This window comes from Homo sapiens, chromosome 19 (assembly GCF_000001405.40).
Source record: "Homo sapiens chromosome 19, GRCh38.p14 Primary Assembly".
NCBI classification, from domain to species: Eukaryota; Metazoa; Chordata; class Mammalia; order Primates; family Hominidae; genus Homo; species Homo sapiens.
In genome coordinates this window covers 40,028,260-40,056,231 of record NC_000019.10, presented here as the reverse complement: position 1 = coordinate 40,056,231, position 27,972 = coordinate 40,028,260, and the positions used below count along the sequence as shown (strand labels likewise).

Sequence of the window (27,972 nt, the reverse complement as noted above, 5' to 3'; positions counted from 1 at the left end):
AGCGGTTCCACTTCCTGTCTCCTGGGGTTGACGACCTAGCTGGGTAAGGTCTTCACGTCCTAGGAAGAAATCGGTGGCTGCGGGAGGTCTTCGTGGACTGGGACTCGAACCTGACCGACCCGGCAGTGCGGGTGGGCGAGAGCGAGGCGCTCAGAGGAGGAACCCGGGGCGCAGACGGAATCTGCCAGATCCTTAGGCGTGCGTGTGCGCGGGCATCAAAGGATGGGGATTGCGCGATCTTGAGTGACGGAGGGGACTGTGTGAGTGTGTGCGTGAGGCCCTGTGCACAGGACCGGGACGGCGTGTGGACGCAGTGCGTTTTGCTGGGGCTGTGTGAGTGTCACTGTGCCGGTGGTACTAGGCTCCTGCTGCTTCCTCCGTCTTTCCCCTTCAAAGCTGCAGAGGCTGCAGCAGAGGAATGAAAATGTCCCCAGTAGGGAGGTTAGATATTGAACCGAGAATGAAGCTTTGCACAAGAAGGCGCAGATCTGGACTCGGGGTGGGAATATGAGAGCTGGAAGTGCCTCTTGAGGGTCCCCCAGGAGGGCAGCTACATGTTGAGAACCCAGCGTCCCTCAGAGATCTGTCCCCAGGAACCAGCTTCGAACTCAGACCGATTCCTCCTCCTTTTATTTCCTTCTCATTTCGTACGAAGTGAGGGAAGTTGTGGCCATGGAGGGTGCTTTCAAACTTAGTCTGCGCTCCAAGAAAAGCCTGGAGTCTCACGCTTGCCGTATCCTTCTCCAGTCGTATTATTATCCAAAAGAAGGACCGAGAGGAGGATGAGAGCGTTATTGTTGCACACTTAAGTCAAGGGTGAGTTTGTGCTTTGTATTTGTTCAAGAAATGCGTTTTTGATTTTAGAATATAGAGGTTCCTGTAAATTTTTAGTGAATTTCAGGAGAATATGCAAATTGATTCTTGCCCCCTCCCATTGTGCCGCCTCCCAGCGAGCCGTTCCCCACCCCGCCCGCTCCCCACCTTGCCATTTAATATTCACAGAGCCATTTGGCAAATCGTTCACACCTTCCTGTACGCTCTCTTCTTCTAAGCTGGTATAAAAATAGTCCTCCAGAGGTTTATATTAAAGCTTTATTTTAGACTCTGCTTTGAAAAGAAGATTAGTTTGTGGAATCACACGCCAGGTTTCTGACTCTTTACAGGCCTCCTTTTCCAAGTAGGGAAGAATGGAGATGGTTGGGTGATTTCCATTCGTCTGTGAGGCTTTCAGGAATCGGAAAGTGATTGCACAGAAATTGGTATCAACCAGAGTCAGGATTTTTCGGGAGAGTCCATGAGATGATAATTGTAATACTTGCCAGATCTCTGTGAGATTCGGCAGTTCCGGTTGCATTTTGGGCTATTTGTGTGAACTGTGAGAGGCAGTACGCTGTTGCGGTTAAGAATAGGGGAGTGGATCCAGAGTATCTGGGTTGGAATGTTTGTTCTGTCCGTTTCTGGTCTTCTCAGGCTTGTAATGAACATTAGAATGAATTAATACTCTAAAACCTCTTAGAGCAGTGCTAGGCATATAATAATAAATGTTTAATGTTTTAGCTTTTGTTTTCGTGTGGTCATTTTAGGTCATTTCCCTTGACTTTCTATAGGACAGGAGCATTGGGAATATGTGATTCATTGTGATTGCTGCTTGCATAGTAAGAAAATGAGTGAGTTGCTCAAATGATCTAGGACAGAAGTTCTTTTTAAATTGACAGATAAAATTGTATGTATTTATCGTGTGCAACATGATGTTTTATAGTATATGTACATTGTGGAATGACTAAATCTAGCTAATTAGCAATGCATTACCTCACATAGTTATCATTTTTGTGGTGAGAACACTTAATATCCACTCTCTTAGCACTACAGAATAGTTATTAATAGTAGTTATTAATAGTAGATACGTTGTTGTGTAATAGATTTCTTGAGCTTATTTCTCTTATCTTCCTGAAATTTTATATCCTTTGACCAACATTTCCCCAGCCAACACCATCTTCCCTCCCTCACCCACATTACCCCCGACCTGTAAACACCATTCTCTTCTCTAATTCTATGATATCAAGTGTTTTCTTTTTTTGAGAGAGAGTGTCTTACTCTGTTGCCCAGGCTGGAGTGCAGTGGCGTGATCTCGGTTCACTGCAACCTCTGCCTCCCGGGTTCAAGTAATTCTCCTGCCCCAGCCTTCCGAGTAGCTGGGACTACAGGTGCATGCCACCACACCCAGCTTATTTTTGTATTTTTAGTAGAGACAGGGTTTTGCCATGTTGGCCAGGGTGGTCTCGAACTCTGGACCTTAGGTGATCCGCCTGCCTCGGCCTTCGCCTCCGCTTTCGAAAGTGCTGGGATTACAAGTGTGAGCCACCGCACCTGGCCTATATGAACATTTTTCAGATTCCACTGATGAGTGAGATCATCTGCCTTTCTGTGCTTGGCTTACTTAATATGAATTTCTCCAGGTTCATCCATGTTGTTGCGAATGACAGCATTTCCCTTTTTTTATGGCTAGTTTTCCATTGTGTATATATACCTGCATATATACCACATTTTCTTTATCCATTCATTGATAGACAGTTAGATTGATTCCATATCTTGGCTATTGTGAATAGTGCTGCAATAAACATGGGTGTGCAGGTGTCTCTTTGGTATACAGATTTCATTTCCTTTGGATAAATATCCAGTAGTAGATTGCTGGATCATATGGTGGTTCTATTTCTAATTTTTTGAGGAACCTCCATGCTGTTTTCCATAATGTCTGTGTCACTTTACATTCTCACCAACAGTGTGCAATGGTTCACATTTCTCTACATTCTCACCAACATTTGTTAACTTATGTCTTTTCAATAGCCACCCCAACACATATGAGGTGATATCTTATTGTAGGTTTAATTTTCATTTCCCTGATGATTAGTAATGTTGAGTATTTTTTCATATACTGTAGCCATTTATATGTCGTCTTTTGAGATGTGTTTATCAGGTCCTTTGCCCATTTTTTAATTGGGTTGTTTTCTTGCTGTTGAGTTCCTCACACGTTTTGGATATTAACCCCTTATTAGATACATGACTGCAAATATTTTCTCTCATTCTGTAGGTAGTCTCTTCACTTTGCTGTGCAGAAGCTTTTTTAGCTTGATGTAATTTCATTTGTCTATGTTTGCTTTTATTGCCTGTGCTTTTGAAGTCATTTCTAGAAAAAAAAATTATTGCCCAGATCAATGTCATGAAGCTTTCCCCGTACGTTTTTTTCTATTTGTTTCATAGTTTGGGATCTTACATTTAAATCTTTAATCCATTTAGAGTTGATTTTTGTATAATGGTTTGAGAAAAGGGTCTAATTTCATTCTTCTGTGTATGACTCCCCAGTTTTCACAACAGTATGTATTGAAGAGACTGTCTTTTCCTTATTGTATGTTCTTGGCACCTGTCTCAAAAATCAGTTGGTTGTAAACATATGGATTTATTCTGGGGCTCTCTATTCTGTTCCGTTTGTCTAGGTGTCTGTTTTTATGTCAGTATCATGCTGTTTTGGTTACTATAGCTTTGTAGTATATATTGAAGTCAGGTAGTTTGATGCCTCCAACTTTGTTCTTTTTGCTCCAGACTGCTTTGGCTATTTGGGTCTTTTGTGGTTCTATGCACATTTTAGGATTTTTTTTTTTCTATTTTTGTCAAGAATGTAGGACTGAAATTCTTAATCTGAGTTCTTGTAACTCCACGTATGGTCTTGGGGACCACAAAGCTCTTGAAATAATGTATTGAAGTACTATGGAAATTTATCAATGTGGGTTTTAGAGGGAGAAATAGTATATCATTTCATAAGACTATCAAAACTGTATGTGACCCATGAGGTTTGGATCCATTGATCTAGATAGAACATTGATTCTCAGCGGGGGTGATGTTTAAAAACTTTTGGTTGTCACACCATGGGGGAGGTGCTACTTAGATCTAGTGGATAGAGGTCAGGGATACTGCTGAACATTGTACCGTGCACAGGATAACCCTCCCTATAGCCCCAACAAAGGATTATACAGCACAATATGTCATTAGTGCCTAGGGTGAAAAACCTTAGTCTAGAATCAAAAGATTGTGATACCTGGAATGACACTGTAAATGATCTTATATAAATCAAGTGTCCTGTAATATGGAAATCACTAAGCAAATTATACTAGACTCAAGTGATAAAGTATTATGCAGCTAATAAAATGATGTCTATAAAGAATTATGAAAAGAAAAATATTTGATATACCATTAAGCAGTATTCATGCTATGAACAATGATACTCAAGAAAATGTTACATGTATATGAATCCCATATACTAAGATAGGGTTTTTGTAAGGCATTCTGTAGGAATTGTATCCAAAATGATATTTTAATGAGTTATTTGGTGAAGAAGGGAACCAAGCATGGTGATGTACATTCCACAGATTTTCTCATGTAGTTTCCAGATGCCACTTATCTGCATTGTGTTCATTCAGAGAAGAGTCTTGATAATGAAAATGTCTAATTATATTGGTGAGATACAGCTAAAGGATGTCAGAACTAGCTGATGTTATTTGTTATAGTCACATTAATCTTTTTGATCCTCATGACAGGCACAGTTTTTTGTTTTTTATGATTAAAAGTACTCACTCTCTGTTAACTCTGTTTTATTTTTATTTTTGAATTCGGATGTAGAAATATGACCATCATTAATGCATACAAGAAATTAGTTGAAGACTTGTAGACAATTTTTTTTAGAAATTGTACTAACATACATAGAAAAACATAGACATCTTAGTGTTGGTCAAGAATTGGGAAATAATGGAAACAAATTTATTACATAAAAACAAGAGCTCAGTAGAGTTTCCTTTTTTTGTCCCCACGTTGAAAGGAAAATGTCTAAATAAAAGATGTCTTTCATCTAATTTGGAGAACAATTTCCTCGCAAGAAAAAAAATGTGTATGTACATTTAAATATGTACATATATAGATACATACACATGTGTATATGTGTGTATATATGTGTGTGTGTGTGTGTGTGTGAATATAATTATATATTCTAAGTTAAATGCCTGGGCATAGTCACAATTATGACATACTCTTTAGCAAAAAGAAGAAAATTGGGGCTACAATACAGAGATAAGCACTGTTAGCATGCATATACCTGTCTAAATTTTTGTATTGATGTCTATTAGTCTTTTGCTTAATATTTCTATATACATATATTTTACAAATGTAATCGTATTGTTTATCCTGCTTTGTAACCTGATTTTTCTGTTAATCATATGTCTGGAACAATTAATGATTACTTTGTATTCTATTACATGGCTATTCTGAACTGTACTTACCCCAGCTGGCTTTTGGTGAACTCAGAATGCTGAACACTGCCCATGCAATTCTGTCTATATCCTTTCCAGTTCTCATGCCTTGCCCCACTGCACCCAATCCTGAGTTCACAAAGAGGTTCTGGATTGGATGATGCAAGCCCTTCTCAGCTCTGAAAGGTGGACTAGGGGAGGAGGATTGCTTACAGCAGGATCAGAGGCCCAGTCCTAGGCCAAGATTGGTATCCCAAGAGTGGAGGACTGGCTGGAAGCCACAACTTCAAGGCAGAAATGCCTGTGCTCGGCATTCATGCTTCCGCCGCAGGTTCCCTGGGATGTAGGCGAGAGCTTGGTTTCATCCACACTCCACCTGTTCACTGCCAGTTTATTTGTGAGAGTGTGTGTAGGGAAAAAGGGAGTGACGGGAGAAGGGTGGAAGTGTGCGTGTGAGCAGGAGTAGTTGAGAAATAGGAATGGAGGATAAAATATTTATTCGTTCTAGTGCTTTCGGACACAGCTTGACTTAGGGCCTTTTTGTTGTTGTTGTTTTCCAGGGGAGAAGCCCGAGGAAGATTGACCAATTTTGTAATTCTAGAAACATGGTCCATGTAAGTTGGTGTTTCTGTCTTCTTGAAATATGGTGACTTTCAGGTTAGGTTAGGTGACTGTTATTATTAAACCTGAACCTTCTTACGTAAGGATCCACGATTTTTTTTTTTTTTTTTTTTTTTTTTTGAGACGGAGTCTTGCTCTGTCACCCAGGCTGGAATGCAGTGGTGCGATCTTGGCTCATTGCAACTTCCGCCTCCCAGGTTCAAGCAATTCTCCTGCCTCAGACTCCCGAGTAGCTGGGACTACAGGCACCCACCAGCACGCCTGGCTAATTTTTTGTATTTTTGGTAGAGATGGGATTTCACCATATTAGCCAGGATGGTCTCGATCTCCTGACCTCATGATCCCCCTGCCTTGGCCTCCCACAGTGCTGGGATTACAGGCGTGAGCCACTGTGCCTGGCCAGGATCCACAATCTTACACCCCACTTTGTCCCATTACAGTGAAGTTTGGTGACCAAAAAATAAAAGTCAGTGCTCTTCCTATTCGTACCTCTGTTTTCCCACTGGCTTTGATGTTTTCTTTGAGCAGGTTATTCAGTCTGTGCTTAACTCAGTCCTTGGTCAGAAAGAATGTTGGAACAGTGGAGGAGTTGGTCCCCACAGGGAAACATGGTCTTGTGGGTTTGATAAGTTACAGATGATTGTCGCATTTGACCACACTCGGGAACACCTTGAAACTCCTCCACAGACTGGAGCTTTCTAGGTAGCTGAGGTAGAATTCCATAGTGAGTGGCCTCAGTCTGCAAGCGTGACAAGGTGTTCTGCTTTATGAGGCTTTTAGGAAAGTGATCAGTGAGGACAGTGGGCAGTAACAGAGATTATTCAGGGCATGAGTGGTAGGTGATTACAGATTCTCTGAATTTGGGAAAACCTTAGAGACTCTGACCATCTTAAATGTATAAATAGAAAAATATGACTAAATCTAATATGTCAGTTATTTTGAATTTTACGCAGCTTATAAAAATCATTTGTCATGACAAGAAAAAATACTTTTGCTATCATCTGATACCACAGTAAGCTTGAGGATTAACGGCATTCCTCAATTGTATGCTGCCACCTTTTTTTTTTTTTTTTTTTTTTTTTTGAGATAGGGTCTCACTCTGTAGCCCAGGCTGGAGTGCAGTAGTGCCATCACACTTCGCTGCAGCATTGAACTCCCAGGCTCAAGCAATACTCCCACCTCAGCTTCCCAAGTAGCTGGGACTATAGGCACATGCCACCACGACAGTTCTTTCTTTCTTTCTTTTTTTTTTTTTTCCAGGGAGTGCATCTCGTTATGTTGCCCAGGCTGTTTGCCAACTCCTGGGCTCAAGCAGTCCTTCCACCTTGGTCTCCCAAAGTGCTGGTATAACAGGCATGAGCCACCACACCAGGCCAGCAGCAGGATTCTTGAAGAATGTGTAGGCACTCTGCGATTTTCCATATTGCTCCTTTATTGCAGTTTAATCCTTCACTTCCTCTCCTTTCGTCTTGAAACAACTTTCTTCAATTTCACCATAATCCATGTGTTTGTGGTTTCAGGGATCAGTGACATTCAGGGATGTGGCCATTGACTTCTCTCAGGAGGAGTGGGAGTGCCTGCAGCCTGATCAGAGGACCTTGTACAGGGATGTGATGTTGGAGAACTACAGCCACCTGATATCACTGGGTAAGGTCATTGGTCCCAGTTATTTTTGTATCTGTTCTCTGGAATATCAGCTTTCTTCATCATGAGTTTCAGGGCTGTCTTTTAAGAGGTAGTTGGATTCCTTCTTCTTATTCCCGAAGGAATGGATTGAGATTTGTTGGGTTGAAAACAGGCACCTCCTTGGAGCCTCTGCATCTTGCCTACTGCACCAGGGCCTCCTCCATTATGCTGGTCATCTCTGTAATCCCCTCTCTCTCTTCATGACCATGGGGCTGAATTTGAAATCTTGTATATTCGTTGAATGATATTGTTCAAGAACCAGGTTTCATATTATGTTTGATCTCAGAATTACTGTAGATTTTCTTTGTTTGTTTTTGTTTTTCTGGCCCACCTGTAAGGAGAAGAGTGTGTTGAGTTTTTCTATTAAAAGAGCCTCTATGATTGCTTGAACCTGGGAGGTCAAGGCTGCAGAGAGCCGTGGTCATGCCACTGTACTTCAGCCTGGGCAACAGAGCAAGACACTGTCTCAAAAAAACAAAACAAAACAGAGCCTCAATGATTTACATATACTGATTGGGTTGACAGAACTTATTTAGCACTAAGTCAGTATATTCCATTTCCTTCGACAGACCTTCCGTTACTTGTTTTGTAGTTGAAAGTTTCAGGCCATGAAGTGTATGCTTTTCTGTTGGGTGAAAATTCTTAAAATGAGCTGTAAATGTCTAAGGATGCAAAATAAATAATGACAATAAACATAATAATTTTTAACTTTGTGCTACTACGTATGAGTGAGAGTTAGAAGTATTTTACATATATTACCTTATTTAATATTAGTATCAATCCTATAAAACAGGCATTATTATATTTCTGTTTTAGAGTTGGGAAAACTGAAGGACAGAGAGTTCAAGTGACTTACTTAATGTCAAAGTACTAGTGGGTGGCAGAGACAGGATTTCAACCAGGTAATCTGGCTTGAAGTTTCCTGCTGTTAACCACTAAATTATACCTCCTCTTGAGGGATAAGTTTCTATTATGAGTTTAAATGAAAGTGCTTTTTTTTTTTTTAAACATAGTTGATCCCTTACTCAATCCTCTCTTATCTGGAGTCTCTTCTCAATATTGTTTTGGCTTGTAATTTATTATAAGTTTAACTAGGTCTCAGGGTTTAAAAAAAATTTTTATATTAAAAAAATTCTACATGTGTTATTTCTTTTAAGCAGGAAGTTCCATTTCTAAGCCAGATGTGATTACATTACTAGAGCAAGAGAAAGAGCCCTGGATTGTTGTAAGTAAAGAAACAAGCAGATGGTATCCAGGTAAGTGAGAGTAAAGCAGGCAGGGGGAAGCCATCATTGTCCCGGACAGCCCATGTGCTCAGAGAGGAGTCACACCCCTGAGATGTGGTTTGGAAAACTTTCTTCAATAACCCAAGGTCCCCCACTGGACAAAAATGCCCAAGACCTGGGAAGGAAATAAGATCACTGTAGGAGCTGTCCCCAAGGAACTTCATCATTTACTAATCACCTAATTTCTGTTATTTTCTTCCTCTTTTAATGAAGTGAGCTTCCTCTTTCTTTCCCAGTGTAAACTTTAAACAGTTTTTAAAATTATTTTTTAAGAGGCAGCATCTTGCTATGTTGCCCCAGCTGATCTTGAACTCTTGGCCTCAAGTAGTCTTCCTGCCTCAACCTCCTAAGTAGCTGAAATTACAGGCATGAGCCAATGCTTCTGGCCCCCAGTGTAAACTTTTAACACGTATTTTGGATCCAGCTACTTTCCAACTCTGCTTTTGCATTTAGATTTCTACATGTGTTTTCACTAAGAAATGTATTCATGTTCAGTAAATATGTATAGAGTGCGCATTCCTAGAAGGCATATGCTTGGCTCTGGTCAATACTGTAATGTACAGGTAATGAACAAGACTGAGAAAGTCACTGCTGTCATGGACTTTACCAGCAGTTGGTGAGACATGCCTCAAACAAGTAAGCAAATGAATAGATAAGGAATACCAAATAATCATGCTATAGAGACAAGGAAATAGGAGTGATGGGGTGAGAATGGCAGCACTTGGGTGCTTAGGGTACCTGTCTGGAAGTGGGCTTGCTTGCATAGAGATGTGAAGTAAGTGTTCAAGTACTCTAGTCAGACTGAGCAGGAAACACAAAGGTGGAGTAAGTAATGGAACAGCGGGAAGAAAGGTCTGAGAGTTACGTCGGAGTCGTATCATACAGGGTTTTGACTGTCGTTGTGAGGAATGTGGGAAGTTCTTCAAGAGTTATTTATTCATTTTTAATTGATACCCAATATTTGTACATATTTATGGGATACATGTTATGTTTTGTTCCATGCATAGAAGGTGTAATGAACAAGTGTCAGGGTATTTGAGGTATCCATCAGATCCACCAGAGGAGGGTTTATCATTTCTTTCTGATAGGAACATTTCAAGTCTTCTAGCTATTTTGAAATATACAATACATTGTTGTTAATTAGAGTCACTCTACTCTGCTTATGAACATTAGAAGTCATTCCTCATATTTAACTGTATGTTTGTAACATTAACCAACTCCTCTTCATCCCCCACCCCTCACCCACACACCCTTCCCAGCCTCTGGTTTCTATCATTCTATTCTTTACCTCTGTGAGATCTTTTTTTAGCCTCCAGATATGAATGAGAACATATGATATTTGTCTTTCTTTTTTTTGAGTTGGAGTCTCATTCTTGTCGCCCAGGCTGGAGTGCAGTGGTGCGATCTTGGCCCACTGCAACCTCCACCTCCTGGGTTCAAGCAATTCTCCTGCCTCAGCCTCTAGAGTAACTGGGATTACAGGTGCCTGCCACCACGCCTGGCTAATTTTTGTATTTTTAATAGAGACAGGGTTTCACCACATTGGCCAGGCTGGTCTCAAATTCCTGACCTCAGGTGATTCACCCACCTCGGCTTCCCAAAGTGCTGGGATTACAGGTGTGAGCCACTGCGCCCAGTCTGATATTTGTCTTTCTGACCTCCGATTCCCTCCATGTTGCTGCAAATGACATGATTTCATTTTTTAAATGCCTGAATAGTATTCCATGTGTATATATCACATTTTCTTTATCTGTTTGTCTGTTGGGGGACACTTAGGTTGATTCCATACCTTTGGTATTTTGAATAATGCTACAGTAATCATACAAGTGCAGGTATCATTTTGATATACTGATTTTATCTTCCTTTGGATTAATACCCAGTAGTGGGATTGTTGGATCATATGGTAGTTCTATTTTCAGGTTTTTGAGAAATCTGCATGCTGTTTTCCATAGTGATTGTACTAATTTATATCCCACCAACAGTATATAAGAGTTCCCTTTTTCCCTCATCCTCTCAGGTATGTTTAAACCCAATGTTTCTTTGTTAATTTTCTCTCTAGATGATCTAATTCTGAGAGTGGCACAGTGACGTCCCCAGTGATTATTATACTGTAGTATCTCTCTCCCTTTTGCTCTAATAATATTTGCCTTATATATCTGGGTGTTCTGGTGTTGGTGTTATATGTTTAGAATTGTTATATTCTCTTGCTGAATTGATCCCTTTATCATTATATGATGACCTTCTTTGTCTCTTTTTGCTGTTTTTTACTTAAAATCTGTTTTTTTCTGATATAAACGTAGCTATTTCTACTCACTTTTGGTTTCCATTTGTATGGAATATCTTTTCCTGTTCTTTTACTTTCAATCCATATGTGTCTTTACCAGTGAGAAGAGTTTCTTGTAGGCAGCTTATAGTTGGATCATGTTTTTTCATCCATTCAGCCCGTCTGTATCTTTTAAATGAAGTTTAATCCATTGACGTTCAGTGTGATTACTGATATGTGAGGGCTGATTCTTATCATTTTATTAATTGATTTCTAGTTGTTTTGTTTATCCTTTGTTCCTTTCTCTTTTATTTTTTATCATTGTGGTTTGGTTGTTTTCTTTAGGGGTAACATTTGAGTCCTTTGTCCTTATTTGTATGTTTGCTGTGTCAGTAGGTTTTATACTTTTGTGTGTTTTCACAATGGTAGATATTGTCCTTTCACTTCTAGGTGTAGGACTCTTGAACATATCTTGTAGGGTTGGTCCAGTGGTGATGAATTCTGTCACCTTTTGCTGTCTGGGAAAGACTATTTCTTTTTCATTTTTGTAGAATACTTTGCTGAGGATAGTGTCCTTGACTGGTGATTTTTTTCTTTCAACACTGAATGTATAATCACATTCTCTCTCATTTCTCTCTGTTGAGAAATCTGCTGTTAGGCTGATGAGAGTTTCCTTGTAAGTGACTAGATGCTTTTCTCTTGCTGTTTTTAGTATTCTCTTTTGTCTTTGACTTTTATATTTTGACCATAATATGCCATGGAGAAGACCTTTTTGTATTGTATCTATTTGGGTATCTCTGAGCTTCCTGTATCAAGATGTCTGCATCTCTTACTAGAGTTGGAAAGTTTCCTGCTATTATTTCATTAAATAGATTTTCTATCCTTTATGTTTTCTCTTTGTCTCTAGGACCTCAAAAATTCAAATATTTTGTTGTTTTATGATGTCCCATATGTTACGGTGGCTTTATTCATTCATTCAGATGTTCTGAGGAAAACATTTATCCTAAGGCTTAAAAGATGAGTTAGAGGGGTGGAACCAAGATGGCCGAATAGGAACAGCTCCGGTGTACAGCTCCCAGCATGAGCGATGCAGAAGATGGGTGATTTCTGCATTTCCATCTGAGGTACCGGGTTCATCTCACTAGGGAGTGCCAGACAGTGCATGCAGGACAGTGGGTGCAGCGCACTGTGTGCAAGCCAAAGCAGGGCGAGGCATTGCCTCACTCGGGAAGTGCAAGGGGTCAGGGAGTTCCCTTTCCTAGTCAAAGAAAGGGGTGACAGATGGCACCTGGAAAATCGGGTCACTCCCACTCTAATATTGTGCTTTTCCAATGGGCTTAAAAAACGGCACACCAGGAGATTATATCCCGCACATGGCTCGGAGGGTCCTATGCCCACAGAGTCTCACTGATTGCTAGCACAACTGTCTTGAGATCAAACTGCAAGGTGGCAGCAAGGCTGGAGGAGGGGCGCCTGCCATTGCCCAGGATTAGGTAAACAAAGCAGCCGGGGAGCTCAAACTGGGTGGAGCCCACCACAGCTCAAGGAGGACTGCCTGCCTCTGTAGGCTCCACCTCTGGGGGCAGGGCAAAAAGACAGCAGTAACCTCTGCAGACTTAAATGTCCCTGTCTGACAGCTTTGAAGAGAGGAGTGGTTCTCCCAGCACGCAGCTGGAGATCTGAGAACAGGCAGACTGCCTCCTCAAGTGTTTCCCTGACCCCCGAGCAGCCTAACTGGGAGGCAACCCCCAGTAGGGGCAGACTGACACCTCACACGGCCGGGTACTCCTCTGAGACAAAACTTCCAGAGGAACGATCAGGCAGCAGCATTTGCGGGTCACCAATATCCACTGTTCTACAGCCACCACTGTTCTGCAGCCACTGCTGCTGATACCCAGGCAAACAGGGTCTGGAGTGGACCTCTAGCAAACTCCAACAGACCTGCAGCTGAGGGTCCTGTCTGTTAGAAGGAAAACTAACAAACAGAAAGGACATCCACACCAAAAACCCATCTGTACGTCACCATCATCAAAGACCAAAAGTAGATAAAACCACAAAGATGGGGAAAAAACAGAGCAGAAAAACTGGAAACTCTAAAAAGCAGAGTGCCTCTCCTCCTCCAAAGGAATGCAGCTCCTCACCAGCAATGGAACAAAGCTGGACAGAGAATGACTTTGACAAGTTGAGAGAAGAAGTCTTCAGACAATCAAACTACTCCGAGCTACAGGAGGAAATTCAAACCAATGGCAAAAAAGTTAAAAACTATGAAAAAAAATTAGACGAATGGATAACTAGAATAACCAATGCAGAGAAGTCCTTAAAGGAGCTGATGGAGCTGAAAGCCAAGGCTCGAGAACTACATGAAGAATGCAGAAGCCTCAGGAGCTGATGCGATCAACTGGAAGAAAGGGTATCAGTGATGGAAGACAAAATGAATGAAATGAAGTGAGAAGAGAAGTTTAGAGAAAAAAGAATAAAAAGAAATGAACAAAGCCTCCAAGAAATATGGGACTATGTGAAAAGACCAAATCTACGTCTCATTGGTGTACCTGAAAGTGACGGAGAGAATGGAACCAAGTTGGAAAACACTCTGCAGGATATTATCCAGGAGAACTTCCCCAATCCAGCAAGGCAGGCCAACATTCAGATTCAGGAAATACAGAGAATGCCACAAAGATACTCCTCGAGAAGAGCAACTCCAAGACACATAATTGTCAGATTCACCAAAGTTGAAATGAAGGAAAAAACGTTAAGGGCAGCCAGAGAGTAAGGTCGGGTTACCCACAAAGGGAAGCCCATCAAACTAACAGCGGATCTCTTGGCAGAAACTCTACAAGCCAGAAGAGAGTGGGGGCCAATATTCAACATTCTTGAAAGAATTTTCAACCCAGAATTTCATTCCAGCCAAACTAAGTTTCATAAGTGAAGGAGAAATAAAATCCTTTATAGACAAGCAAATGTTGAGGGATTTTGTCACCACCAGGCCTGCCCTAAAAGAGCTCCTGAAGGAAGCACTAAACATGGAAAGGAACAACCGGTGCCAGCCACTGCAAAAACATGCCAAAATGTAAAGACCATCAAGGCTAGGAAGAAACTGCATCAAGTAATGAGCAAAATAACCAGCTAACATCATAATTACAGGACCAAATTCACACATAACAATATTAACTTTAAATGTAAATGGGCTAAATTCTCCAATTAAAAGACACAGACTGGCAAATTGGATAAAGAGTCAAGACCCATCAGTGTGCTGTATTCAGGAAACCCACCTCACATGCAGAGACACACATAGGCTCAAAATAAAGGGATGGAGGAAGATCTACCAAGAAAATGGAAAACAAAAAAAGGCAGGGGTTGCAATCCTAGTCTCTGATAAAACAGACTTTAAACCAACAAAGATCAAAAGAGACAAAGAAGGCCATTACATAATGGTAAAGGGATCAATTCAACAAGAAGCGCTAACTATCCTAAATATATATGCACCCAATACAGGAGCACCCAGATTCATAAAGCAAGTCCTGAGTGACCTACAAAGAGACTTAGACTGCCACACAATAATAATGGGAGACTTTAACACCCCACTGTCAACATCAGACAGATCAACGAGACAGAAAGTTAACAAGGATACCCAGAAATTGAACTCAGCTCTGCACCAAGCAGACCTAATAGATATCTACAGAACTCTCCACCCCAAATCAACAGAATATACATTCTTTTCAGCACCACACCACACCTATTCCAAAATTGACCACATAGTTGGAAGTAAAGCACTCCTCAGCAAATGTAAAAGAACAGAAATTATAACAAACTGTCTCTCAGACCACAGGGCAATCAAACCAGAACTCAGGATTAAGAAACTCACTCAAAACCACTCAACTACATGGAAACTGAACAACCTGCTCCTGAGTGACTACTGGGTACATAACGAAATGAAGGCAGAAATAAAGATGTTCTTTGAAACCAACAAGAACAAAGACACAACATACCAGAATCTCTGGGACACATTCAAAGCAGTATGTAGAGGGAAATTTATGGTACTAAATGCTCACAAGAGAAAGCAGGAAAGATCCAAAATTGACACCCTAACATCACAATTAACTAGAAAAGCAAGAGCAAGCACATTCAAAAGCTAGCAGAAGGCAAGAAATAACTAAAATCAGAGCAGAACTGAAGGAAATAGAGACACAAAAAACCCTTCAAAAAATTAATGAATCCAGGAGCTGGTCTTTTGAAAAGATCAACAAAATTGAAAGACCATTAGCAAGACTAATAAAGAAGAAAAGAGAGAAGAATCAAATAGATGCAATAAAAAATGATAAAGGGGATATCACCACCAATCCCACAGAAATACAAACTACCATCAGAGAATACTACAAACACCTCTACACAAATAAACTAGAAAATCTAGAAGAAATGGATAAATTCCTCGACACATACACCCTCCCAAGACTAAACCAGGAAGAAGTTGAATCTCTGAATAGACCAATAACAGGCTCTGAAATTGTGGCAATAATCAATAGCTTACCAACCAAAAAAGATCCAGGACCAGATGGATTCACAGCCGAATTCTACCAGAGGTAAAAGGAGGAGCTGGTACCATTCCTTCTGAAACTATTCCAATCAATAGAAAAAGAGGGAATCCTCCCTAACTCATTTTTTGAGGCCAGCATCATCCTGATACCAAAGCTGGGCAGAGACACAACGAAAAAAGAGAATTTTAGACGAATATCCTTCATGAACATTGATGCAAAAATCCTCAATAAAATACTGGCAAACCGAATCCAGCAGCACATCAAAAAGCTTTTCCACCATGATCAAGTGGGCTTCATCCCTGGGATGCAAGGCTGGTTCAACATATGCAAATCAATAAATGTAATCCAGCATATAAACAGAACCAAAGACAAAAACCACATGATTATCTCAATAGATGCAGAAAAGGCCTTTGACAAAATTCAACAAAATTCATGCTAAAAACTCTCAATAAATGAGGTATTGATGGGATGTATCTCAAAATAATAAGAGCTATCTATGACAAACCCACAGCCAATATCATACTGAATGGGCAAAAACTGGAAGCATTCCCTTTGAAAACTGGCACAAGACAGGGATGCCCTCTCTCACCACTCCTGTTCAACATAGTGTTGGAAGTTCTGGCCAGGGCAATTAGGCAGGAGAAGGAAATAAAGGGTATTCAATTAGGAAAAGAGGAAGTCAAATTGTCCCTGTTTGCAGATGACATGATTGTATATCTAGAAAACCCCATTGTCTCAGCCCAAAATCTCCTTAAGCTGATAAGCAACTTCAGCAAAGTTTCAGGATACAAAATCAATGTACAAAAATCACAAGCATTCTTATACACCAATAACAGACCAACAGAGAGCCAAATTATGAGTGAACTCCCATTCACAATTGCTTCAGAGAATAAAATACCTGGGAATCCAACTTACAAGGGATGTGAAGGACCTCTTCAAGGAGAACTACAAACCACTGCTCAAGGAAATAAAAGAGGATACAAACAAATGGAAGAACATTCCATGCTCATGGGTAGGAAGAATCAATATCATGAAAATGGCCATACTGCCCAAGGTAATTTATAGATTCAATGCCATCCCCATCAAGCTACCAATGACTTTCTTCACAGAATTGGAAAAAACTACTTTAAAGTTCATATGGAACCAAAAAAGAGCCCGCATCACCAAGTCAATCCTAAGCCAAAAGAACAAAGCCGGAGGCATCACACTACCTGACTTCAAACTATACTACAAGGCTACAGTAACCAAAACAGCATGGTACTGTTACCAAAACAGAGATATAGATCAATGGAACAGAGCAGAGCCCTCAGAAATAATGCTGCCTATCTACAACTATCTGATCTTTGACAAACCTGACAAAAACAAGCAATGGGGAAAGGATTCCCTATTTAATAAATGGTGCTGGGAAAACTGGCTAGCCATATGTAGAAAGCTGAAACTGGATCCCTTCCTTACACCTTATACAAAAATTAATTCAAGATGGATTAAAGACTTACATGTTAGACCTAAAACCATAAAAACCCTAGAAGAAAACCTGGGCAATACCATTCAGGACATAGGCATGGGCAAGGACTTTATGTCTAAAACACCAAAAGCAATGGCAACAAAAGCCAAAATTGACAAATGGGATCTAATTAAACTAAAGAGCTTCTGCACAGCAAAAGAAACTACCATCAGAGTGAACAGGCAACCTACAAAATGGGAGAAAATTTTCACAACCTACTCATCTGACAAAGGGCTAATATCCAGAATCTACAATGAACTCAAACAAATTTACAAGAAAAAAACAACCCCATCAAAAAGTGGGCGAAGGATGTGAACAGACGCTTCTCAAAAGAAGACATTTATGCAGCCAAAAAACACATGAAAAAATGCTCATCATCACTGGCCATCAGAGAAATGCAAATCAAAACCACAATGAGATACCATCTCACACCAGTTAGAATGGCGATCATTAAAAAGTCAGGAAACAACAGGTGCTGGAGAGGATGTGGAGAAATAGGAACACTTTTACACTGTTGGTGGGACTGTAAACTAGTTCAACCATTGTGGAAGGCAGTGTGGCGATTCCTCAGGGATCTAGAACTAGAAATACCATTTGACCCAGCCATCCCATTACTGTGTATATACCTAAAGGATTATAAATCATGCTGCTATAAAGACACATGCACACGTATGTTTATTGCGGCACTATTCACAATAGCAAAGTCTTGGAACCAACCCAAATGTCCAACAATGATAGACTGGATTAAGAAAATGTGGCACATATACACCATGGAATACTATGCAGCCATAAAAAATGATGAGTTCATGTCCTTTGTAGGGACATGGATGAAACTGGAAACCATCATTCTCAGCAAACTATCACAAGGACAAAAAACCAAACACCACATGTTCTGACTCATAGGTGGGAATTGAACAATGAGAACATATGGACACAGGAAGGGGAACATCACACTCCGGGGAATGTTGTGGGGTGGGAGGAGGTGGGGAGGGATAGCATTAGGAGATATACCTAATGCTAAATGACGAGTTAATGGGTGCAGCACACCAACATGGCACATGTATACATATGTAACAAACCTGCACATTGTGCACATGTACCCTAAAATTTAAAGTATAATAATAATAAAATTAAAAAAATATATATATATAAACAGAAAAAAAAAAAAGAGGAGTTGGATGTTTGTTACAAAGAGCAAAGCCAGACGATTCTTGGAAGATGAAGCAGTCTAAGCAAGCAAGAAGATAAGAGAAAGGTTATATCATGTTCTGGTTGCTAAAAGGAGGGAGTGGTTAGAGATCAGCCACAAAGGAGGACAGTGCCCTGATAGGAAGTTTTGTTCTCTGTGTTAAGGTTTTTGGATTTTGTGCTAAGACTAAAGATAAACCATTCAAAACCAGTTTTAAGTATGATCTGTAAACTTTGATCTGAATCAGAATCATCTGGTAGAGATATTAAAAATACAGCTTTGGCTGGGTGTGATGGCTCCCACTGGTGATCACAGCATGTTGGGAGATCAAGGCAGGAGGATTGCTTGATGCCAGGAGTTCAAGACCAGCTTGGGTAACATGGTGGGACACCATCTCTACAAAGTAAAAATAAAAATAAAGTAAAAATTAGCCAGACTTTGGACTGCAGGAAGACTAAAGAAAAAGAAATTGTCCAGACTTAGTGGCATGTGCCTGTAGCTGTAGCCACTTGGGAGGCTTAGGCAGGAGGATTGCTTGAGCCTGGGAGTTTGAGGCTGCAGTGAGCTGTGATCATGCCATTGCACTATAGCCTATGCAACAGAGAGAGACCCTGTCTCTTAAAAAAAAAAAAAAAAAATAGAGGCCAGGCACAATGGCTCACACCTGTAATCCCAGCACTTTGGGAGGCCAGGGTGGGTGGATCACCTGATGTTAGGCATTCCAGACCAGCCTGGCCAACATTGTGAAACCTCGTCTCTACTAAAAATACCAAAATTAGCCAGGCACGGTGGCAGATGTTTGTAATCCCAGCTACTCTGGAGGCTGAGGCTGAGGCCAGAGAATCACTTGAACCCAGGAGGTAGAGGGTGCAGTGAGCTGAGATTGTGCCATTGCACTGCAGCCTGGGCGACAAGAGTGAAACTTCGTCTTAAAAAAAAAAAAAAAGCTTTCTTCACTAAAAATTCTGATTCTGTACATCTGAGTTGCTTGAATATCAATATATTTAATCTTACCAAATGGTTTTGATTCACACCTAAATTTGACAAAGTTAACCTGTTCCCTTATGCACACCACCATCTTACATAAATTCATTATTGGCACCCTTTTCCTTTTTCAGATCCCTTCCCTGAAAGTATTATATTTTATACTTAGGCCATTTGTTTAATGGATTTTGTATGCATGTATGTTATAGGAAAATAAAATAGGTTTGCCTTCTTCATTTCTTTCAGATTTGGAGTCAAAATATGGACCTGAGAAAATATCTCCAGAAAATGATATTTTTGAAATAAATTTACCCAAACATGTTATAAAGCAAATAAGTAAAACACTTGGCCTCGAGGCCTTTTATTTTAGAAATGACTCAGAATATAGAAGTAGATTTGAGGGACGACAGGGACATCAAGAAGGATATATCAACCAGAAGATCATCAGCTATGAAGAAATGCCTGCTTATACTCATGCTTCTCCTATTCATAATACACATAAACCATATGAATGTAAGGAATGTGGGAAATACTTTAGTTGTGGTTCAAATCTTATTCAGCATCAGAGTATTCATACTGGAGAGAAACCCTATAAATGCAAAGAATGTGGGAAAGCCTTTCAACTTCACATACAACTTACTCGACATCAGAAATTTCATACTGGTGAGAAAACTTTTGAATGTAAGGAATGTGGAAAAGCCTTTAATCTTCCCACCCAGCTTAATCGCCATAAGAACATTCACACAGTTAAGAAACTGTTTGAATGTAAGGAATGTGGGAAGTCTTTTAATCGTAGCTCAAACCTTACTCAGCATCAAAGTATTCATGCTGGTGTAAAACCATATCAATGTAAGGAGTGTGGGAAAGCCTTTAATCGTGGTTCAAATCTTATTCAGCATCAAAAAATTCATTCCAATGAGAAACCCTTTGTATGTAGGGAATGTGAGATGGCCTTTCGATATCATTACCAACTCATTGAACATTGCCGAATTCATACTGGCGAGAAACCCTTTGAATGTAAAGAATGCAGAAAGGCCTTTACTCTTCTGACAAAGCTTGTTCGACATCAGAAGATTCATATGGGTGAGAAGCCCTTTGAATGCAGGGAATGCGGGAAGGCCTTTAGTCTCCTCAATCAGCTTAATCGCCATAAGAATATTCACACAGGTGAAAAACCATTTGAATGTAAAGAATGTGGGAAGTCCTTTAATCGTAGTTCAAACCTTATTCAACACCAGAGTATTCATGCTGATGTAAAACCATATGAATGTAAGGAGTGTGGGAAAGGCTTTAATCGTGGTGCAAATCTTATTCAGCATCAAAAAATTCATTCCAATGAGAAACCCTTTGTATGTAGGGAATGTGAGATGGCCTTTCGATATCATTACCAACTTATTCAACATTGCCAAATTCATACTGGTGGGAAACCCTTTGAATGTAAAGAATGTGGAAAGGCCTTTAGTCTTCTGACACAGCTTGCTCGACATAAGAACATTCATACTGGTGAGAAACCATTTGAATGTAAAGACTGTGGGAAGGCCTTCAATCGTGGCTCGAACCTTGTTCAACATCAGAGTATTCACACTGGTGAGAAGCCCTATGAATGTAAGGAGTGTGGGAAGGCTTTTAGACTTCACCTACAACTTTCTCAACATGAGAAAACTCATACAGGTGAGAAACCCTTTGAATGTAAGGAATGTGGGAAATTCTTTCGTCGTGGTTCAAATCTTAATCAACATCGAAGTATTCATACCGGAAAGAAACCCTTTGAATGTAAGGAATGTGGGAAAGCCTTTCGACTTCATATGCACCTTATTCGACATCAGAAATTTCATACTGGTGAGAAGCCCTTTGAATGTAAGGAATGTGGCAAGGCCTTCAGTCTTCACACCCAGCTTAATCACCATAAGAACATTCACACAGGTGAGAAGCCATTTAAATGTAAAGAATGTGGGAAGTCCTTTAATCGTGTCTCAAACCTTGTTCAACATCAGAGTATTCATGCTGGTGTAAAACCATATGAATGTAAGGAGTGTGGGAAAGGCTTTAGTCGTGTTTCAAACCTTATTCAGCATCAGAAAACTCATTCCAGTGCGAAACCCTTTGTATGTAAGGAGTGTAGGAAGACCTTTAGATATCATTACCAGCTTACTGAACATTACCGAATTCATACTGGTGAGAAACCCTTTGAATGTAAAGAATGCGGAAAGGCCTTTGGTCTTCTGACACAGCTTGCTCAACATCAGATCATTCATACTGGTGAGAAGCCATTTAAATGTAAGGAGTGTGGGAAGGCCTTTAATCGTGGCTCAAACCTTGTTCAACCTCAGAGTATTCATACTGGTGAGAAACCCTATGAATGTAAGGAGTGTGGGAAGGCTTTTAGACTTCACCTACAACTTTCTCTGCATCAAAAACTTGTACAGGTGAGAAACCCTTTGAATGTAAGAAATGTGGGACAGCCTTCAGACATCAGTAGCAACTTACTGAACATCAGAAAATTCATACTTGGGTGAAAACCTTTGAATGTAAGGAATGTGGGAAGGCCTTTCAATATCATTACCAATTTCATGGACATTATAGATTTCATATTCGTGAGAACCCTTATGAATGTCAAGGATGTGGGAAATGCTTTACCAGTGGTAGAAACCTTAGAGTACATCAGAGAATTCATACTGGTGAGAAACCATATCAATGTGAAGAATGTGGGAAAGCCTTTAGTCATAGTTCAAACCTGTTAAACATGTTAAAATTCATACTGATGAGAAACCCTATGAATGTAAGGAATGTGAAAAGGCCTTTAGCAGTAATTATGATCTTACTGTACATCTGAGAATCCGTACTGCTGAGAAACCCTGTGAGTGTAAAGAATGTGGAAAACTTTTGGATTTAGCTTAGTCTTTACTGCACATCAAAGAATTCATACTGGTATGAACCGTATGAATGTAAAGAATGTGGAAAGACCTTTACTTGTAGCTCGAGCCTTGTTCAACATGTTAAAATTCATACTGGTGAGCAACCCTGTGAATGTAAAGGATGTGGGAAGACCTTTAGACTTAGTTCAGTCCTTTCTGCACATCACAGAATTCATACTGGCATGAAACCCTATGAATGTAAAGAATGTGAGCAAACCCTTACTGTGAATGATCTGCTTACGCAACATCAGAAAATTCATTATAGTTAGAAGTTTTATGAATATAAGGAGTGTAGACAAGCCTTCACTGTGTATGAAAAATTTACTCAACACCAGAGAATTCATATTGATGAGAAATCCTGTGAACATAAAAGAATGTGTGAAGAACTTTCATCGTGGCCTGGGATTTGCTCAACATCAGAGTATTCATACTGCTGAGAACTCCTTTGAGTGTAAAGAATGTGGGATATTTTATAGCCACACTAAATGCCTTAGAGTTCAGAGAAGATAATTTTGGTGAGAAAGTTACTGATGTGAGGAATGTAGAGTAGCTGCCATGTTCACAGTTTACTGCCCGTGAAATATTTTACTGGATACAGGCGTACCTTGCTTAATTGTGCATTGCAGTTACTGCATTTTATACACACTGAAGGTTTGCAGCAACCTTGCAGTGAATAAGTCTATCAGCACCATTTTCCAAACAGCATATGCACATTTCATGTCTTTGTGTCACACTTTGCTAGTTTTCATAATATTTCAAACTTTTTCATTGTTAAATCTGTTATGGTGATCTGTGACCAGTGTTTTTTGATTACTAGTGTAATTGTTACTAGTGTAATTGTTTGGGGATACCACAAATCCTGCCCATAAAAGATGGTGAACCTAGTTGATAATTGTTGTGGGTTTTGAAAGAATAGTAAAATATATACACATATCCCCCCCACCTAGATTCAAAATTGTTAACAATTTGCCACATTTATTTTTTGTATATTTGTTGTACCATTGAGAATAAGTTTTAGACCATTGAGAATAAGTTTTAGATATCATGACACTTTACTCCTTGTTACATCAGCATGTGTGTTACCCAAACATAAAGACAATATCATATAACCATAGTACCATAATTACCCTTAAGGAAAATATTCATAATTCTGTAATATCATTCCATCTTCAGATTTCTTCCTTGGCCTGCAAACCATCTTTTACAGCTATTCATTTTCTCTTTTTTTTTTTTTTTTTTTGAGATGGAGTCTCGCTCTGTCGCCCAGACTGGAGTGCAGTGGTGCGATCTGGGCTCACTGCAAGCTCTGCCTCCTGGGTTCACGCCATTCTCCCGCCTCAGCCTCCTGAGTAGCTGGGACTAGAGGCACCCGCCACCATGCCCAGCTAATTTTTTGTATTTTTAGTAGAGACAGGGTTTCACTCTGTTAGCCAGGATGGTCTCGATCTCCTGACCTCGTGATCCACCCGCCTTGGCCTCCCAAAGTGCTGGGATTACAGGCATGAGCCAGCATGCCTGGCCTACAGCTATTCATTTTCTAAGGAGAGTCCATTGCAGATTCTGCATTGCATTTGGTTATCTCTCTTTAGTGTATTGTAGCATGGAAACCCCATGAAAGTATGCTCTCAAATTATGGTGGGTATCAGAATCCCCTGTGGAACTTAGTAAACCTACAGAAGTGTAGCCCTAGTTTATAAGCCTGGGCCTCTGTTTTTTATTATTTCTCCAGGTTTTGTGTCTGTGATACCAACCAGAGTTAGAGAGCCACTGGTCTAGAACATTTCTCATTTTAAAAAAATGACATTGAATTTTGAGTAGCCCAGAAATGTTGTTGGCTATGTGTTTAGATTTCTTTCTTTATAGTGTCATTTAGCCTTGTTCTTGGTTGTATTTTCTTTACAAGGGAAAGTAAGTCCAGAGGCTTTCTTAGGTCTAGATTAAACGTTTTGGGGAAGAATACTTTGTAGGTTATTTCTATGTCATATTGTACTGTCAGAAAACATTTAAGTACAGGTCCTTGCATTAGTGAAACTAAGGATGATCATTTGGGTAAGCTGGTAACCGCCGTAAGTCCATTGTAAAGATTTAGTTTGTAGTGGGTAAGTAATCTATGGAGAGACGTTGTCATCTCTGAAAAGTTATAGTCACGTGTACTTAAGCCCTGGATTGAATACAAAATGAAAATTGAAATAGACTATTGAGAAATGAATGCCATTAAAGCGTCAACATAATTCAACTTGTGTGATATGGCTGACACTGTACTCAGTACAAAACTGGCACCCTTTGGATTGTATAGGGAGCCAAGATTGTCCGGAACCTCTTTTTTGTTCAGCATTTATCACCAGCACCTATACCATGGCTGGTACATGAGCTGTTGATAAAAATTTGAAAAAATATTAACCCTTTAAATCAAGCTGTAAAACATGATACCATTAAGCCGGGAGCAGTGGCCTCATGCCTGTAATCCCAGCACTTTGGGAGGCCAAGGTGGGCAGATCACCTGAGGTCAGGAGTTTGAGACCAACTTGGCCAACATGGCAAAACTCCATCTCTCCTAAAAATAAAAAAATTAGCTGGACATGGTGGTGCATTCCTGTAATCCCAGCTACTTGGGAGGCTGAGGCAGGAGAATCACTCGAAATTGGAAGGTGGAGGTGGCAGTGAGCCAAGATCGTGCCACTGCACTCCAGCCTGGGCGACAAAGTGAGACTTCATCTCAAAAAAACCCCAAAACAAAACATGATACCGATGTGGCATCATGAATTAGATTAAATTTTTTTTAAGATTAAGAATAATCCTTTGTGATTTTATTCCATTGTGTTGAAAAATCTATAAAGTGATAATTTATATTGATAGCTTTCTTCTTTTTATGAATATACCCTGGTCAGATGATTATTCTTTCAATAGACTACTTAATTCTATCTTTTACCATTTAATTGCATCTATAATCATAAGTAAAGTTATAATTTTCCAAGTATTTTTCAGGTATTGATATTGCAATGATGTTATACAACTTATAAAACAAGATTATATAAAACTTGGCTTTCAAATCTTATGTTCCTATTTTTTATTTCCAGTTTCATCTTTTTTCTATCCATTCTCTTGAACTTTCTTCTTTGAAATCAGCAGAGTCCCTGGGTATTAACCTAGCACAACTCCTTTCTGGGTCATTGCACATCCCGGTAGTATCATTAAGAGTTGTCAGAAAGATCCCTGGCAGCCTTTCGGTGAAACTCTATCATCATGCAATCATGGCAGTACTATGTTGGAAGTCAGAGTCCCTTTGCAAACATAATAAAACACTTTAATATATTTGTTAAAGTTACAAACCAAGTATGTACAAATTTAAAAATCACGGCCAGGCACGGTGGCTCACGCCTGTAATCCCCAACTTAAAATGGTTTGACTTATAATTTTCAGCTTTATAATAGTACAAAAGTGATATGCTGCTATAGTTTGGATATTTATCCCCTCCAAATCTCATATTGAAGTTTGATCCCAATGTTGGAGGTGGGGCCTAATGGGAGGTGTGTGGGTCATGGGAGAAGATCCCTCATGAATAAATTAATGTCCTCTCTGGATTGGGGGGTGAATTATCACTCTGTTAGTTCCTATGAGAGCTGGTTGTACAAAAGAGCCTGGCACCTCCTTCCTCACCCTCTTGCTTCCTCTCTTGCCATGTGATGTCTGCATACACTGCCCCCTTTCATCTGCCATGAGTGGAAGCAGCCTGAGGCCCTTACCAGAAGCAGATGTTGCACCATGATTCTTGTAAATCCTACAGAACACTGAGCCAAATAAACCTCTTTCTTTATTAATAACCCAACCTCAGACATTCCTTTATAGCAACACAAAACTAAGACATACTCAGTCAGAGTATGCTCCTTGACTTAAAATGGGGCTATATCTAGATAAACCCATTGTTAAATTGAAAATATTGTAGACCATAAATGCACATATGGTGTATGATGTTTTCAATTTATGATGGGTTTATTTGGACATAACTCCCCGTAAGTTGAGAAGCACCTGTAGTAATTATTATTATTTATGCTCAAATTGACATAATGTGGCCAGTAGGAATCCATTTACATTTTTTTTTTACTACTTATTTTTTTCTTTTGATGTTTTAAAGGAATATTGTTTTCAGGCCGTAAGAGGATGTTTAAGACTGACCCTGTTTGTTGGTTCATGTCCCCCATGCCTCTTGTCCTGAGTCATGGAATCAACTCATGATTTAATACCCTCTTATCTTAGGGAGTCCTGGTTCCTTTTAGAGGAAAAAAGAATTAGAGACCAAAAAATCTGGCTGCTGTGAGTGCACATGGCAGTTACAGGTATGGAAAAAAAGATGCTGCTTTTGTTAGAATTCTTTTAATAGTTTCAGAGTTGAAAATGTCATCCTAAGGTCAGAAGTTCCCTCTGAATTTTCTCAACTTACATTTCTATGATCTGCTCTTGTTTGCATTTGGTATTTTATTGAATTATGTTTTATGTATGGTGATAGCTGAGAAGTTTATCTCCTTTTAAGGCCTGGCTGAAATGATACATTAATCTGCCTCCCATTTTTGGAGATATTGCTCTGATTTAAATTTGTCATGGTGTTTCTGAGCAGCGTTGTAAAGAAACTTGTTTTAGAATATTCAGTCATGGATGTTATCTTGAATGTTCATAGACTCCCCAGAAAAGAAGAAAAAGTAGACACAAGATTTCTGTCATCCTTTTACAGGGTATTGTGATCATCCAGCTTGGGGTATGAGGGATAACGGACCTGTGTGTCTTAATTTCCAGAATACCATTCCATTTCAATGAGTCTTCTGCACAAGTTGTGGTCTCAGGGATTCACTGTCTTCATTTGTAATTGATCAAAATGAAACCATCTCCAGGATTCCTCAGTGGGTCAGGATCTGTTATTTATTAGGCCCGCATATCCATTCTACCCTGCTTTCATGATTATAGAACCAGTAATTTTTATTGATAGTTGGCTGTGACTATCTAGAATAAGGACTGCAGTTATTTCTCCAAGGTGTTGTCATGTGACATAACTTATGGCAAGTAGGATGTAAGTGAATATTTTGGCAATTCTGGAAACCTCTTAAAACAAACTAGCTTAATATATTAATATTTGAGAAATCTGGGTGAAGGGTAACCAGAATTATTTACTATTCTTCCAAGTTCTGTATAAGTCTGAGTGCTCATTCCATTCTGATGCCAGAATGGTAAAATTCATGATTGGTTTAGAGCAAGGCCACAGTATCAGGCTTACATCCATATTATATGACAGAGAAATTAACTTTTATTATATTTTATCCACTTTAATTTGGGGCAGTTTTACTATTTTACTCACAACCAAATTTAATCTTAAACGCTACAACTAGATTGTCACATGTAAAAAGTAATAACCATCATTATATCTTTTATGTTCTGTAATTCCAAAGCACGGATCTGTAGAGAACAGAGTGTCTATCCCATGCATGTTGTCATGTACTTATCCCACACCCTATTGAAATCACAGTACCCATAAGGGAGACATTTTTTTTCTTCAAGAATATGTATTTCTGCCACATCTATGATTCTCCAGAATGAGATGACAGAAAATGCTAAACTATTGTTAAATGACTATATGTAGTTCCACTTCTGGATGGTAGATGGGGGGGCTCTGCAAACTCATTTTCTAATAAAACTGGCAAAAAAAAATGTA

At 39.7% G+C, this 27,972-nt stretch overlaps 1 protein-coding gene across 17 annotated transcripts, besides 2 other annotated features; it reads left to right on the top strand.

Annotated features, from left to right (window-relative positions):
* ZNF780B (zinc finger protein 780B) lies at positions 1-27,972 on the top strand. 17 transcript variants are annotated; one of them, XM_017026426.2, is made up of 6 exons: positions 1-43; positions 748-816; positions 5,855-5,908; positions 7,436-7,562; positions 8,762-8,857; positions 19,606-27,972. In XM_017026426.2, the coding sequence occupies exons 3-6, from the start codon at positions 5,900-5,902 to the stop codon at positions 21,873-21,875; spliced, it is 2,502 nt and encodes an 833-aa protein (XP_016881915.1). In that variant the 5' UTR covers positions 1-43; positions 748-816; positions 5,855-5,899; the 3' UTR covers positions 21,876-27,972. The 17 variants fall into 17 exon arrangements, with proteins under 17 accessions (XP_016881915.1, XP_047294293.1, XP_016881914.1 ...); XM_047438337.1 differs by having other exon boundaries at positions 8,759-8,857; XM_017026425.3 differs by having other exon boundaries at positions 656-816.
* Positions 12-141: an enhancer, noted in NCBI's record as "active region_14637". NCBI's record gives its function as "activates an Ori minimal core promoter by ATAC-STARR-seq in GM12878 lymphoblastoid cells {active_cell/tissue: GM12878}" and the evidence as "EXISTENCE:reporter gene assay evidence [ECO:0000049][PMID:35858748]".
* Positions 19,492-20,691: an enhancer, noted in NCBI's record as "P300/CBP strongly-dependent group 1 enhancer chr19:40541448-40542647 (GRCh37/hg19 assembly coordinates)". NCBI's record gives its function as "activates an origin of replication core promoter dependent on BRD2, BRD4, P300/CBP, MED14 and CDK7 cofactors, with strong dependence on P300/CBP, by STARR-seq in HCT116 cells {active_cell/tissue: HCT116}" and the evidence as "EXISTENCE:reporter gene assay evidence [ECO:0000049][PMID:35650434]".